The sequence below is a fragment of the Homo sapiens genome, chromosome 7 (assembly GCF_000001405.40).
Source record: "Homo sapiens chromosome 7, GRCh38.p14 Primary Assembly".
NCBI lineage: Eukaryota > Metazoa > Chordata > Mammalia > Primates > Hominidae > Homo > Homo sapiens.
In genome coordinates, this window is record NC_000007.14 from 148,955,102 (window position 1) to 148,971,326 (window position 16,225).

The 16,225-nt window shown below is 47.4% G+C and overlaps 1 long non-coding RNA gene and 1 other non-coding gene across 2 annotated transcripts, besides 4 other annotated features; both read left to right on the forward strand.

The window, feature by feature from the left end:
* Positions 528–1,029: an enhancer, noted in NCBI's record as "H3K4me1 hESC enhancer chr7:148652721-148653222 (GRCh37/hg19 assembly coordinates)". NCBI's record gives its function as "activates a minimal SCP1, AML or CMV promoter by ChIP-STARR-seq in primed H9 embryonic stem cells {active_cell/tissue: H9 hESC(primed)}" and the evidence as "EXISTENCE:reporter gene assay evidence [ECO:0000049][PMID:30033119]".
* Positions 8,214–8,309, forward strand: RNY4 (RNA, Ro60-associated Y4). The gene has a single exon (NR_004393.1).
* Positions 8,894–9,395: an enhancer, noted in NCBI's record as "H3K27ac hESC enhancer chr7:148661087-148661588 (GRCh37/hg19 assembly coordinates)". NCBI's record gives its function as "activates a minimal SCP1, AML or CMV promoter by ChIP-STARR-seq in naive H9 embryonic stem cells {active_cell/tissue: H9 hESC(naive)}" and the evidence as "EXISTENCE:reporter gene assay evidence [ECO:0000049][PMID:30033119]".
* Positions 9,396–9,895: an enhancer, noted in NCBI's record as "H3K27ac hESC enhancer chr7:148661589-148662088 (GRCh37/hg19 assembly coordinates)". NCBI's record gives its function as "activates a minimal SCP1, AML or CMV promoter by ChIP-STARR-seq in naive H9 embryonic stem cells {active_cell/tissue: H9 hESC(naive)}" and the evidence as "EXISTENCE:reporter gene assay evidence [ECO:0000049][PMID:30033119]".
* Positions 11,933–15,669, forward strand: LOC124901768 (uncharacterized). Its single transcript, XR_007060580.1, has 2 exons — positions 11,933–12,061; positions 15,457–15,669. It is a non-coding gene; the product is annotated as an uncharacterized LOC124901768 (long non-coding RNA).
* Positions 11,977–12,026: an enhancer, noted in NCBI's record as "active region_26802". NCBI's record gives its function as "activates an Ori minimal core promoter by ATAC-STARR-seq in GM12878 lymphoblastoid cells {active_cell/tissue: GM12878}" and the evidence as "EXISTENCE:reporter gene assay evidence [ECO:0000049][PMID:35858748]".
* Positions 15,670–16,225: the final 556 nt, after the last annotated feature.

Sequence of the window (16,225 nt, forward strand, 5' to 3'; positions counted from 1 at the left end):
CAGCTGTGGGACGCGGCCGCGTCCCATCACCCACCTTGGGCACAAGGCTGCCCTTCTGGTGCCACGTCCCAGGCTGATGGCCCCGGTGTCCAACTGCCTTAGCATCCTTGTCTGTGAATAACAAGTGCCATCTTCAAAAGCCAAGCTGTGCCAAGAGGAGGGTTCATTAACTTGGAAGGAACATTGGGAGAGTGTTTAAGTCAATTTTCCCCCTTTTCCAGCTGGAAAGCCATGTTAAGAACCACCCGGGTTCAGCTTTGCAGGAGAGGCCTGAGATGCTCTGCGTGCTTAAACGAAGTCTCTCTTCAGGTTCCTTTACGGTTTGGAAATTTTATTCCAATCAGACGTAGGTGTTTACACAACGTTATTTACGCTCTATGGGAAGGTGTCCACTCTGCTGCTTTTATTCTAATTGGCTGAGTTGGCTGCAATGAGGAAATTGAGTTTTCTGACACAAATCGCACCACAACACAATCTGGTATTGGAGGATATATACACAAAGAGAAAGCAGACACTATCCTAAACATCAAACTTCTGATTTTCAGGGGTTTCTTTGTTGTTGTTGTTGTTGTTGTTTTGAGATGGAGTCTTGCTCTGTTGCCCAGGTTGGAGTGCAGTGGCGCGACCTCGGCTCACTGCAAGCTCCGCCTCCCGAGTTCATGCCAGTCTCCTGCCTCAGCCTCCCGAGTAGCTGGGAATACAGGCGCCCGCCACCACGCCCAGCTAATTTTTTTGTATTTTTAGTAGAGAGGGGGTTTCACCTTGGTCTCGATCTCCTGACCTCATGATCCGCCCGCCTCGGCCTCCCAAAGTGCTGGGATTACAGGCATGAGCCACCGCGCCGGGTGTTTGTTTTTTGTTTGTTTGTTTGTTTGAGACGGAGTCTCGCTCTTGTCACCCAGGCTGGAGTGCAGCGGCACGATCTCAGCTCATTGCAACCTCCACCTCCTGAGTTCAAGCGATTCTCCTGCCTCAGCCTCCCGAGTAGCTAGGATTACAGGCGCCTATCACCACGCCAGGCTAATTTTTGTATTTTTAGTAGAGATGGGGTTTCATTCACAGATGAATCTGTGGGCTTACACCACCCCCTTCTCCAGGAAGATGAGCACGTGGGGTTCCCTTCCCAGAGGCTCCCCCTGGAACCTGCCATGCAGCTATGGAAACAGCCCTAGGCAGCCGCAGGGGCCCAGGTGAAGAAGGCGGCAGGCGGGGAGCACAGAGCCACCCGCCTTGGCCTCCCAAAGTGCTGGGATTACAGGCGTGAGCCACTGTGCCCAGCCCGATTTTCAGTTTTCTTTGCTCTTATTCCCGTGTAGTTTTCCCACAGTTTCAAGCACAGTATGGTCTTGTTTTGTTTTTGTTTTCTCACTGAACTTTTTCCATTAGGCTATTTTATGAATTTTCTGTTATGCTACTCTTTTTTTTGAGATGGAGTTTCGCTCTGTCATCCAGGCTGGAATGCAATGGTGAGATCTTGGCTCACTGCAACCTCTGCCACCCGGGTTCAAGCAATTCTCCTGTCTCAACCTCCTGAGTAGCTGGGACTACAGGTGTGTGCCAACACGCCTGGCTAATTTTTGTATTTTTAGTAGAGACGAGGTTTCACCATACTGGTCAAGCTGGTCTCGAACTCCTGACCTCAGGTGATCCGCCCGCCTCGGCCTCCCCCATTGTGCTACTCTTAGTCCTTAATTTTAAATCTATATAACTTTCTATCTCTCAAATAGCTAGGTAAAAATATAATTCATACATCTCCTATTGTTGGCTATTTAATCTGGGAGACTATGGATTTCAATGACTGGGGTGAGGGGTAATTTTGGAGGCAGGAGCACTGCTTCCCAAGGGGTACAGAAAAGGATAAAAGGGCCGGGCCCAGTAGCTCACGCCTGTAATCCCAGCACTTTGGAAGGCCGAGGTAGGCAGATCATTTGAGGTCAGGAGTTTGAGCCCAGCCTGATCAACATGGTGAAACCCCGTCTACTAAAAATACAAAAAAATTAGCAGGGTGTTCTGGCAAGTGCCTGTAATCCCAGCTACTCGGGAGGCTGAGACAGCAGAATTGCTCGAATCTGGGTGGTGGAGGTTGCAGTGAGCTGAGATTGCACCCCTGCATTCCAGCCTGGGCAAAAGAGGGAGGCTCTGTCTCAAAAAAAAAAAAAAAAAAAAAAGGAGAGAGAGAGAAAAGGATGAAAGAAGACAACAAACTTATGGTATTTTGCAGTTAGCCACACCAGATTTTTTTTTAATCATGTGTGTTTGTGTGTGTGTGTGTGTGTGTGTGAGACAGATCTTGCTCTGTCACCCAGGCTGGAGTGTAGAGGTGCAATCATAGCTCACTGCAGCCTCGACCTCCCTGGGCTCAGGTGATTCTCCCACGTCAGTGTCTGGAGTAGCTGGGACCCCAGGCACACACCAGGCCAGGCTAATTTTTAAATTTTGTATAGAGATGGGGTCTTAATATGTTGCCCAGGCTGGTACACCAGATTTTCTTTATCTGGGGTTTACGGTCAGGTTTGGGGGAGGTGGTCCATGAACCACACCCTAAAACCACACACAAGATGTCTGTACATATGTGAATGTGTATGATTTTGTACACATAGACACAAAACTTTCATCAGAATCCCAAAGAGTTTAATGATGTTTTTAAGTTTGTGATGATTTATTTTGTTGTTGTTTTAAACTTTTATTTTAGATTCGGGGGTACATGTGAAGGTTTGTTACACAGATGAACTCATGTCACAGGGGCTTGTGGTACGGATTATTTCATCACCCAGGTATTAAGCCCAGTACCTAACAGTTGTCTTTTCTGCTCCTCCTGCCTCCCCCTCCACCCTCAAGCAGATCCCAGTGTCTGCTGTTCCCTTCTTTGTGTTCATGAGTTCTCATCATTTAGCTCCCAATTATAAGTGAGAGTATGCGGTATTTGGTTTTCTGTTCCTGTGTGAGTTTGCTAAGGATAATAGACTCCAGCTCCATCCGTGTTCCTGCAAAAGACATGATCTTGTTTTTTTTTTTATGGCTGTGAGTTTAATGATTTTAAAAATATTTTTAAAACTACTGGTTTTGAGAGAAAAATGTCAAAGGGCGAGGCCCCTATAGTCTCTATGCTACGAGATACATCTGATAGACAGCTTTTGGGAACCTCATGCTGGCGTGTGCCCTGGGGCCTCTTCTTGGGAGAGATGAAAGCTCAGAGATCTTTAGGGAACCCGGATAGGGTTTGGCTGAGGCTGTAGAAAGATGTGGTGTGAAGTCAAGAGGGAAGGTCGTGGGCCTAGGCGGCTTAAAGATGCATCGTTTAGAACCACAACCTTGATGAACAAAACCGCTGCCTTCTGGGTGCCTGTAGTCCCAGCTGCTTGGGAGGCTTAGGTAGGAGAATCGCTTGAACCTGGGAGGCGGAGGTTGCAGTGAGCCAAGATCACACCACTGCACTCCAGCCTGGGGCATAGAGAGAGACTCAGTCTCAAAAGAAAAAAAAAGCCGGGCACAGTGGCTGACGCCTGTACTCCCAGCACTTTGGGAGGCTGAAGAGGGCAGGCACTTGAGGTCAGGAGTTGAAGACCAGCCTGGCCAACATGGTGAAACCCTGAGTCTACTAAAAATGCAAGAATTAGCCAGGCATGGTGGTGGGCGCCTGTAATCCCAGCTACTTGGGAGGCTGAGGCAGGAGAATCGCTTAAACCTGGGAGGCAGAGGCTGCAGTGAGCCGAGATTGCACCACTGCACTCCAGCCTGGGCGACAGAGTGAGACTCCACCTCAAAAAACAAACAAACAAAAAACGCTGCCTTCCTTGGTTCACCTGGAGCCTCAGTCCCCTCCTGGGTTACTCAGGTGGACACAGGTGACTCTTTTCCCCTGTTGTCCTGGTTTCAGTCAGAGATCTGAGGGCCAGGGATGGGCCTGCCCATGATCCCTAAGCCCCGTGCAGCTGTATCCCCTGTGCGACCCGGTAGTACCTCCCAGAGCCCTGTGACCGCCTTTCGTTATCACTTTCTGGAGCGTCAGGCCTCAAGGGCAGGCCTCAGAAAACAGAATTTCTCTGGCCTTCTGCCCTCCTTTCGCCTGCCCCAAGGCAGGACTCCAATCTTCCCTCACCTTTCCTGTTTTTTTTCTGGTACTTTTTTTCTTTGCTCCCTCCCGTTCCCTCAGCTTTATGACTGTGGGTCATGAGACTCTCTCATTCCAGACTGAGGGAAGGCATGCTGACATCAGGAGGCTTCCATAAAAACCCAAGAGGGCTGGGCATGGTGGCTTATGCCTATAATCCCAACACTTTGGGAGGCCAAGGCAGGTGGATCACCTGAGGTCAGGAGTTCAAGACCAGCCTGGGCAACATGGTGAAATACCGTCTCTACTAAAAATACAAAAATTAGCCAGGCATGATGGGCATGAATATCTGGGACTACAGGCGTGTACCAGGCTGGTCTGGAACTCCTGGGCTCAAGTGATCCTCCTACCTCGGCCTCCCAAAGTGCTGGGATTGTAAGTGTGAGCCACTGTGCCTGGCCTCCTTATGCTTTTTAGAGGAAACATGTTTATATCCCATGCACAGAGGTTTGTAAAGGGAGATATCATGTCAGAGAGCTGCTTAGCAGAGCTGACTGAAAAAGCTTTTGTGCATTTTGTGGACCTGTTGTGTCCACAGACAGGTTCCCCTAAAATAATCATTTCCCTCCCCTTCCTTGCCAACAGGGGCTCTAGTTATAATCGGTATGGATGGGAGAGACAGCAGCATGGACAGAGGCCTCTGGGCCAAAGAGAGTAACTCACTGGGGAACTACAGACAGTTCTGGGGTCCGGCTGGAGGGCAGAGGGTCATGACAGAGGCCTGGGTGGAGGCAGGCTGCACAGCTGAGCCTGTGGAAGACAGGAGCCGGAGAAACAAGGAACTTTAACATCCTTTGAAGGCAGCAGGAAGCCATGAAATGTTTTCCAGCATGTTTTGAAGAAAAGTACAAGTTAACTTATGGAAAGTATTTACCTATGACCCCTATGGCCAAATGGCCCAAATTCCTTAAAAAAATGATGATTTTTCCAGGTAGACCAAAGCAAGACTGTGGGGTCTTTGCATTCACTTCCTTTCTGTCTGCCCTCAGGTTCTCAGCAGCACCCAGCTCCAGCCCCAAGGCCTCTCCTGGATGCGCCTCTAGGACCTTGAGCTCAGTGTCTGTTCAACCCCTCACTGAACTCAGTTCTCCACCTCGGCCATTTGAGATGCTTAGTGAAATCCAAGGATGACTTTAATAGTTATTCACACAATATTTCCTTTAAATAAACTTGTTTTAATTAGTTACTTCTTTTTCATTTCTTTTTTTCTTCACCCCTGAGTAGAGATTTATTTCTTCTTATCCATATTGAAGTTTAATTTGTATACAATAAAATGTACCCGTTTTAATTATTCAGTTCAATGACTTTTGGCAAATGTATATGCACATGAAACCACAATCAACTTTTTTGGCCAGGCACGGTGGCTCATGCCTGTAATCCCAGCACTTTGGGAGGCTGAGGTGGGCAGATCACCTGAGGTCAGGAGTTTGAGACCAGCCTGGACAATATGGTGAAACCCTGTCTCTACTAAAAATTACAAAAATTAGCTGGGCGTGGTGGTGCCCACCTGTAATCCCAGCTACTTGGGAGCCTGAGGCATGAGAATTGCTTGAACCTGGGAGGCGGAGGTTGCAGTGAGCCAAGATCATGCCACTGTACTCCAGCCTGGGAGACAGAGCAAGAGCAAGACTCCGTCTCAAAAAAAAAAAAAAAAAAAAAAGCAGCTTAACAAATGGGAGGTGTTAAAGACATATTATCGTCAAACTAAGATTGTTCTTCCTTGAAGAACTTTACTAACTTTACATCCAGTGCTAGCTAAAATTCCTCATACCCCACCAGTGATCCAGCCGTCCATATCTCACACTTTCTATACTCTCTCTAATGGCTCGGAATCTGTTGAGCTGTGTGTCATAGGAAACCCAGTAACAGTGGCTTAAACTCATGCAGATTTAGTGTCCTCTTGTTGCAGAAAGTATGGAGGTGGGCCGTGTCCAGAACTGGAGCAGTGCCCCACCTGTCATCAATGCACCAAGACTTTTTTTTCTTTCTCTTAGGCCTTCCTAAGTGAGGGCTTTTGTTCTCGTGGTCTCAGGATGGCTCTCCAGCCCCACACCCCCAAACCTCATTCCAGGGCAGAGGAAGGAATGCAAGTGTGTCTTCTTTCTCTTCTCTGCTCCTTTTTTATTATTTCAGTCTAATTTTAATGGTTCCAAAAGGAATTGAGGCAATTGCTGGTGGGCAGCCTACCATGTTAAACAGAAGTTGATTATTTATGTTTTAACAAGAGATGTGGCTGGGCGCAGTGGCTCACGCCTGTAATCCCAGCACTTTGGGAGGCCGAGGTGGGCAGATCATGAGGTCAGGAGATTGAGACCATCCTGGCTAACACGGTGAAAACCCGTCTCTACTAAAAACAAAAAATTAGCCAGGCGTGGTGGCAGATGCCTGTAGTCCCAGCTACTCCAGAGGCTGAGGCAGGAGAATGGCGTGAACCCGGGAGGCAGAGCAGCTGGCCAGCCCTCCAGGAAATCTCAGCTAGTCTACTTTGGAAAGTTGTCCTAATCACTGCTGGAGCAATCACCAAGTTGAGGGTAGGGACTGTGTCTTTTCTGTATTCTTCACTCTCTCTCCGGAAGCCTCAGCCCTTCACATCTCTAAGCCCAGGTCCCAGAACAATTATAATTCTCATTCCAATTACTTTAAAAAAATTCCTGGGATTAGCTGAGCTCAATACATATGAAGGTGGGGAATGTTATGCCTTAGAAAGTAACATTTCCAGCCAGGCGCGGTGGCTCATGCCTGTAATCCCAGCACTTTGAGAGGCCGAGGAGAGTGGATCATTTGAGGTCAGGAGTTCGAGATCAGCCTGGAAAACACAGTGAAACCCCGTCTCTACTAAAAATACAAAAATTAGACGGGCATGGTGACATGTGCCTGTAGTCCCAGCTATTTGAGAGACTGAGGCAGGAGAATGGCTTGAACCTAGGAGGAGGTTGCAGTGAGCCGAGATCAGGCCACTGCACTCCAGCCTGGGCAACAGGGCAAGACTCCATCTCAAAAAAAAAAAAAAGAAAGAAAAGAAAGAAAGAAAGTGACATTTCCTAAGCATTCAAGTTAATCATAATCTTGAACATACATTTTCTTCTGTCAGTTGAAACCTTCCAATTATTATTAAAACTAATGGCAAAAACCACAATTACTTTTGCACCAACCTAATACTTTAACATTTGGTATGTTAAAATATGAATGACTTAAAACAGGAAAATTGAGATTTGATAGGCAAAGATAATAATAGTTAAGGTTTATTGATCACTTTCTAATCCTTTTCATTCCTTTTTTTTCTGGTTAATGTGGGATTTCTTACTAAACTCAGTGAGAGTGCTTATATCTAATCATTGAGAGGGATTTGGCTTTCATTGATAAAACCATTGGTAAAAGGCTGTTTTCAGGATTATGGCAACTTCTCAATGCCAGCAGCAACCTGTCTGAAAGGTGAGAGATCTGAGCATATTAAACCTGGCGTACCCATGTGATTTATAGGAACTATTAAGGATTATCAGGAAAAGTCCCAGGAAACAACCAGTGTGAACACAGCGTGTTCGTGGGTGATGTGAATACAGCGTGTTTGTGGGTGATGTGAAAACAGTGTGTTCGTGGGTGAGGAGTTCTCTGGTCCAGGCTCCGTGGGAAAGTGGATGGAAAGTGCATGCTCTGGGCACTGCTGCCATCTGCTGCTGCCTTGATTCAGGAAGGCATTTTGCAGATCACAGGCAGGGAGACGACAAAAAAAAAAACACCAAAGCTCATTTTGTTGACATTAAATGTTCAACGTTTCTATTGCTGGGCATTTGACACAAATATGTTCATTTACTTTTCTTTGATTCATGAATGTCTTCAGGTATTTGCAAAGGACAAGAGGCTTCCATTTGGTAATTTACGTCTATTTCCCATCATGCAACTACATTTATTTTGAATATCAGTTTGCATTAAGCTATTTAAAATTAAAGGAAGATAATCAGATAATGTATGGCTTTTTGCAGTATTATTTTGTAGGGGTCATATAATATCAGACTTTTTGGAGAATTCTTAAAATAACTCATCCTAACTTATTTAGAGTAGCCACTTCAGAGATTTATAAAATGAAAGTGAAAGCAGTTTTTCTGGCTGGTCCGATGGTAGTGGGTTATCAGAACTTATTAACATTAGTGTCACTAAAGTTGGTATACAACCCCCCACTGCTAAATTTGACTGGCTTTTTACCATTTGATTTTGTATTTCAATCAAACAAGCTAACTTTACAAAATATTCATGTTGGGGGGAAAGCATTCTTACATAAATGTCCCCCTCCTTTTCTTTTTAGGGTCTTACTGTGTTGTCCAGGTTGGAGTACAGTAGCACAATCATAGCTCACTGTAGCTCTAAACTCCTGGGCTCAAGCAATCCTCCTACCTTAGCCTCTTGAGTAGCTGGGACTACAGACACATGCCACCATATCCAGTTATTTTTTTTCCTTTTTTGTAGAGGCAGGGTCTCACTATATTGCCCAGGCTGGTCTCCAACTCCTTTGGCTCAAGTTATCCTGCTGCCTTGGCCTCCCAAAGTGCTGGCATTACAGGCGTTAGCCGCTGTGCCCAGCCTGAATGTACTTTTTTTTTTTTTTGAGCCAGAATCTCAGTCTGTTGCCCAGGCTGGAGTGCAGTGGTGCGATCTCGGTTCACTGCAACCTCCACTTCCCAGGTTTAAGCAATTTTCCTGCTTCAGCCTCCCAAGTAGCTGGGACTATAGGTGCGTTTCCTGTCAGCCCAGAGCCTCAGTCGGGGCCGTTGTCCTCAAACAAGGAGGCCCCTGTCCGCCAGCTTTGCGTTTGCACAGAACGGTTAACTTGACAGCGCTGTGTCCCCCAGCCCTCATATTTATTCACAATCCTTGCTGCACTTTATCTCCAGAATAAAAACCAGTCCGATCCAAAACAGACAGTGTTTGTGTCTGTTTCAATTTTCTGCTCAACCGATTCTGTTCGGTGGAGTCTCTCCAAGAAACTTCTCAATTAAGCTTTCATCAACATTGTTTCAGCATCAGAGTTATTTTTTTCCTTTCCTTGTTTGCTTCCGTCTCTACGGAATGGAATGATCAACTTCCTGATGCACCAAAGGGTTAACAACAAAGGCCTCCTGGAAAAGGAAGAAAAGCGGCCACAGAAAGCTGATTCCTGGGCAGCCGCCCTGGGCCTGAGAGGCAGCATCGCCTTGTGCTGCTGGTGAGAGGGTCTCAAGAATGGCTGAGGGTGCGACCCCTGAGCCTTGATGCCTTGGCCACATTTCTCAGTCCTCCCAGTCCTGGCCCCAGGGATCAGGACCACCCCAGCAGCTGTTGTAGCCCAATCATGATCACCACTATTTCTTGTAAAAAAAGATCCCTGAGGCAGTCAGCAGCTCCAAGAACATTTGATTGTCCAAGAAAATGCCGACCCCAAAAGGGGAGGGATTCTGTGTAAGGAAAGGAATGGGGTGGCTTTATCACCATCCTACACCAAATAAGAACGCCTAGGAGGAGGCAGGGATGCCGGCTCGCTGTTTTAGGAGGAAACAGGGAGGGGGACAAGTGTGCCTTTAAAACGATAGTTAGGGTCAGATGCGGTGGCTCACGTCTGTAATCCCAGCACTTCGGGAGGTCAAAGCAGGTGGATAACTTGAGGTCAGGAGTTCGAGACCAGCCTGCCAATGGTGAAACCCTGTCTCTACTAAAAATAGAAAACATTTTTCAGGCATGGTGGTGGGTGCCTGTAATCCCAGCTGCTCTGGAGGCTGAGGCAGGAGACTCGCTTGAACCTGGAAGGCGGAGGTTGCGATGAGCCCACATTGTGCCATTGCACTCCAGCCTAGGTGACAGAATGAGACTCCATCTCAAAAAAAAAAAAAAAGATAGTTGGCCCTCCGCATCTGCAGGTTCCACATTCATGGATTCAACCAACCGCTGACTGAAAATATTAGGGGGAAAAAATAGATAGTTTTGTCTGTTCTGAACATAGACTTTTTCAGGGTCATTATTCATTAAAGAATACAGCATAATAACTATTTCTATATCATGTACATCGTATTAGGTATTATCTAAATCTGTACTTGTAATCTAGAGATGATTTATAAGTATATGGGAGGATGTGCATAGGTTATATGTAAATTCTACATCTTTTTTTTTTTTTGAGACGGAGGTTTTGCTCTTGTCACCCAGGCTGGGAGTACAATGGTGTGATCGCGGCTCACCGCAACCTCCACCTCCTGGATTCAAGTGATTCTCCTGCCTCAGCCTCCTGAGTAGCTGGGATTACAGGCACCCACCACCACACCCGGCTAATTTTTGTATTTTTAGTAGAAACGGTTTCACCATGTTGGCCAGGCTGGTCTCGAACTCCTGACCTTACGTGATCCACCCACCTCAGGCTCCCAAAGTGCTGGGATTACAGGTGTGAGCCACCACGCCCGGCAATTCTACACCATCTTATGAGGGGCTTAAGCAACCATGGATTTTGGGATCCAGCAGGGGTCCTGGAACCACTGCCCACAGATACCGAGGGACGACTGTAGATGACTGTACATACCACATTGCGTTTACTCATTCATGTCCCTCGATGGGTACTTGGTTGCTTCTACCTTATGGCTAATTGTGAACTATGCTGCTATGAACACAGGTGTACACATATCTTCCCTTCTAGTCCCTGCTTTCAAGTCTTTTTTTCTTTTTTCTTTTTTTTTTTTTTTTTTTTTTTGAGACAAGGTCTTGCTCTGTCACCCAGACTAGAATGCAACGGTGCTATCATGGCTCACTGCAACCTCCGCCTCCCAGGTTCAAGTGATTCTCTTGTCTCAGCCTCCGAAGTAGCTGGAACTACAGGCATGTGCCACCATGCCCAGCTAATTTTTGTATTTTTAGTAGATTTGAGGTTTCACCATGTTGGCCAGGCTGGTCTCGAAATCCTGACCTCAAGTGATCCACCCGCTTCGGCCTCCCAAAGTGCTGGGATTACAGGCATGAGCCACCGTGCCCAGCCAAGTTTTAAAATTATTTGCAGACACGGGGGTCTCACTATGTTGCCCAGGCTGGTCTCGAACTCCTGAGCTCAAGCTATGTTCCCACCTCAGTCTCCCAAAGCACTGAGACTACAGGCTTGAGCCACCGTGCCCGGCCAGATTCTTTCGGGTTCACACCCAGAAGTGGAATTGGTGAATCATAAATAAGGTAATGCTAATTTTTTGTTTGTTTGAGACGGAGTCTTGCTCTGTCGCCCAGGCTGGAGTGCAGTGGCACGATCTCGGCTCACTGCAAGCTCCGCCTCCCGGGTTCACGCCATTCTCCTGCCTCAGCCTCCCGAGTAGCTGGGACTACAGGCGCCCGCCACCACGCCTGGCTGATTTTTTGTATTTTTAGTAAAAACGGGGTTTCACCGTGTTAGCCAGGATGGTCTCAATCTCCTGACCTCGTGATCCGCCCACCTCGACCTCCCAAAGTGCTGGCATTACAGGCGTGAGCCACCGCGCCCAGCCGGCAATGCTATTTTTAATTTTTTGAGGAACTGCCAGACTGTTTTCCACAGCGGCTGCACCATTTTCTGTTCCCACCAGCAGAGTGCAAGCGTTCCAATTTCTCCATGTCGATTCATTGTTTTTGGTCATATCTCACAAGTCAGTCAGCCAAGGTGGGTGGGGTCACGGCGTTCCTAAAATATTATACTTAAAAACGAGCGCAATCCTGGCCCTCGGTGTCAACCAGCTGACAGGGCCGAACGACCGCTGGGCCTCTGGCGCCCCCTGCAGGACGCAGACAGGGTGACAAGCGCTGGCTCGAACCTGGACAGCCCATGGGAGATGCTGCTCGGGGCTGGCCTGGTGGTGCCGATACTCGCCTCTCGCAGAGGCTCCAGGCAAGTCCCAGAGAAGGTGAGGCTCCCTGGGAGCCTTCACGCAGGAGAACAAAAGAAAGCCCGGTGTTCCCGCTCCTCACATAAGAAGCATCAGGGTAAGTGTGGGGGGCGCACAGAGAGGCAAAGACACGTAGGGGTTTTTTATATATATAGCAAGACATATATATATATGTCTTGCTGTGTTGCCTAGGCTGGAGTGCAGTGGCGCCATCTCAGCTCACTGCAACCTCCGCCTCCCAAGTTCAAGCAATTCTGCCTCGGCTTCCCTAGTGTGTGGGATTACAGGCACGTGCGCCACCAAGCCCGGCTAATTTTTGTATTTTAAGTAGAGACGGAGTTTCACCATGTTGGCCAGGCTGGTCTGGAACTCCTAACCTCAGGTGATCCGCCCACCTCGGCCTCCCAAAGTGCTGGGATTACAGGCGTGAGCCACTGCGCCCCGCCGGGATGCAAGATATTGATCAATATCAATACCTGTGACAGAAAAGTGGGCTGCAGGGAGAACAAGAGTGGCTCCTTACCCAGTCTGGAGAAAGCAAACTGCAGTATGATTCAGATCCAACAACCAGCGATCCAGGACCCAGCGTTAGAGCAAATCAGGCCTATTGGGCTCAAACTAGTTTTTTGAAAGTTTTTTCAAAGTAAGAGAATAATCGAGCAGACATTTGTTACACTGATGTTCCTAGCACCAGTATCCACAACAGCCACAGGGTGGAAACCCCAAATGCTCCTCTATGGATGAATGGATAAACCAGCTGTGGTGTGTTTCCACATTAGAATACTAGAGTTCTCAAATTCATACACACAGGGAGCAGAATGGTGGTGACCATGGAGCTGGATTGTGGGGGAGAGGAGCTTAGAATGGGAAGTTGTTATTTTTGAGTATGGAGTTTCAGTTTTTGCAAGATGAAAACATTCTGGAGATTGATTATGTACAATGTGAATGCACTTAACACTGAATGTACGGTACACTTAAAATGGCTAAGACGTTAAAATGAGCTTTGTTTTTTTCATGCCATTCTCCCGCCTCAGCCTCCCGAGTAGCTGGGACTACAGGCGCCCGCCACCAAGCCCGGCTAATTTTTTGTATTTTTAGTAGAGATGCGGTTTCACCGTGTTAGCCAGGATGGTCTTGATCTCCTGATCTCCTGATCCGCGCAACTCGGCCTCCCAAAGTGCTGGGATTACAAGCGTGAGCCACCATACCCAGCCTTTTTTTTTTTTTTTTTTTTGACAGAGTCTCAATTCTGTCACCCTGGCTGGAGTGTAGTGGTGCAACCTTGGCTCACTGCAGCCTCCACCTCCTGGGTTCAAGCAATTCTCATGCCTCAGCCTCCTGATAGCTGTGATTACAGGCATATGCCACCACACCCAGCTAATTTTTGTCTTTTTTAGTAGAGATGGGGTTTCGTCATGTTGGCCAGGCTGTGCTAGAACTTCTGACCTCAAGTGATCCGCCTGCCTCAGCCTCCCAAAGTGCTGGGATTACGGGCATGTGCCATAGCACCTGCCCTCACCTACATAATTTATGGGCGGTCCACAGCCACCTAGTACAACTCCAGGGCATGAGTCTCAGTCCAGTCTACATTCTAGACTCTGCAGGAATGGTGGCTCCGAGAGTCATGCAGGGCACAGCCCACTTGGTCATCCACGGTGGCACTGTGGCCCTTAGGATAGAGGCCTGATATCGTTTGGATGTCTGCTCCAAATCTCATGTTGAATTGTAATCACCAATGTTGGAGGTGGGGCCTGGTGGGGCGGTGATTGGATCATGGAGGCAGATCCCTCATGGCTCGCTGCTGCCCTCAAGATAGTGAGTGAGTACTCGAAATCTGGTTAACAGTATGGCACCTCCCCCCTACTCTTCCTCCCGCTCCTGTCATGTGACACATCTGTTCCTCTTTCACCTGCTGCCATGATTGGAAGCTTCCTGAGGCCTCCCCAGAAGCAGATGCAGTGCTACGCTTACTCTACAGCCTGCAGAACTGTGAACCACTTAAACCTCTTTTCTTATAAATTACCCAGTCTCCAGTATTTCTTTTTTTTTTTTTTGAGACGGAGTCTCGCTCCGTCGCCCAGGCTGGAGTGCAGTGGCGCCATCTTGGCTCATTGCAAGCTCCGCCTCCCGGGTTCATGCCATTCTCCTGCCTCAGCCTCCCCAGTAGCTGGGACTACAGGCGCCCGCCACCTCGCCCGGCTGATTTTTTTATATTTTTGTATTTTTAGTAGAGACAGTGTTTCACCGTGTTAGCCAGGAGGGTCTCGATCTCCTGACCTCGTGATCCGCCCACCTAGGCCTCCCAAAGTGCTGGCATTACAGGCGTGAGCCACCGCGCCTGGCCAGTATTTCTTTATAGCAACGCAAGAATGGCCTAATACAAGGCCAAAAAGGTCACATTTTCAGCAGGCTTGCCCTGTTCACCAGAGCCAGTGCTTCCCAAATCTGTACAGCAGGAGCCTAAAAAAGCAGAGGCCCAATGCCAAGGATTACATTTTCTATTTTAATCAAAAGATGACTTCCCTATAGTTTAATTTCTTTCTTTTTTTTTGAGACAGAGTCTCACTCTGTCGCCCAGGCTGGAGTGCAGTGGTGCCATCTCGGCTCACTGCAACCTGCGCCTACTGATTTGAAGCAATTCTCCTGTCTCAGCCTCCTGAGTAGCTGGGATTACAAATGCACACCACCATACCCGGCTTTTTTTTTTTTTTTTTTTTTTTTTTTTTTGAGACGGAGTCTCGCTCTGTCCGCCAGGCTGGAGTGCAGTGGTGCGATCTTGGCTCATTGCAAGCTCCACCTCCTGGGTTCACGCCATTCTCCTGCCTCAGCCTCCCGAGTAGCTGGTACTACAGGTGCCCACCACCAACGCCCAGCTAATTTTTTGTATTTTTAATAGAGATGGGGGTCTCACCATGTTAGCCAGGATGGTCTCGATCTCCTGACCGCCTGTCTCGGCCTCCCAAAGAGCTAGGATTACAGGCGTGAGCCACCATGCCCAGCCTAAGTTTTGCATTTTTAGTAGAGACGGGGCCTCACCATGTTGATCAGGCTGGGCTTGAACTCCTGAGCTCAAACAAAATATTTTCTATAATATAATGTACGATGTAATTAGAATTGAATATATTCTAATATATATTTTATTATAAGAAGCAAGATGTAATTACTTTAATTAATCATATAAATAAGCCCACCTTAGTGCTATAAGGAGAGAGTGATCATTTACTTCAAGAGTACATTGTGCATATTCCTGTCCAATAGGTGGAAATCAATAATTACAGCATGAAGCTAATCTTTCCATGAGTTCACTTTAAAAATTCAAATATTGTAATTAGAACATTGCCCAGGCATCCAATTTAGACTTAATGATACTTGCCAGCAGGCTCTGATGTTTTAACTGAGATGATAATTATGCTATAGATGGATTGATGTGGTGATTAACTGCTACATGTGTCACTGCCGATAGCATTACAATTAAAACAACTCCCTTTGCAGCTCACAGCCTCATCACCTGAGGTCACGGGAACTGTTTGTCTCCCATGCTCCAGCAACACCCACTTGCCAAGTTTTTGCTTCCTATGGATATTTATTCACCATCTAATGCAGACCAACTGGCAAGACTCAAGAGAAAGCTGTACACAAGGAAAAGAAAAGAAGATGATAGAGGAAAATAAGATAATAAAGGAAAGAAGTATTCGTGGCGGCAAACGTAGGATGTGGGTATATTCACAGATGTGAGTGTTGTCGTGACAAAGGAAAAGTCAGGCCTGTGGAAGAGAAATACCATTGAAAAACTGTCCTGGTCAAACTTCCACCAAAAAGTACAGTATGGGGAGAGAGAGTAAGTAAAAAGAGCCACTTTACGGCAGAGAAAGCTGACAAACACACCTCAGCCAGGGGAACAAGGTATACATTACCAGGGATAACTCATGTTGGTAATATATATCCAGATTCTCTCTGTGCCTCCCAGGCTGGAGTGCAGTAGCACGATCTCGACTCACTGCCACCTCCACCTCCCGGGTTCAAGCAATTCTCCTGCCTCAGCCTCCCAAGTAGCTGGGATTACATGTGCACCACCACGCCCGGTTAATTTAATTTTTTTTGTATTTTTATTTTTCATTTTTTCAAGACTGAATCTCTCTCTGTGGCCCAGGCTGGAGTGCAGTGGTGCGATCTCCGCTGTCTGCAACCTCCACCTCCCAGGTTCAAGCGATTCTCCTGCTTCAGCTTCCTGAGTAGCTGGGATTACAGGCGGGTGCCACCA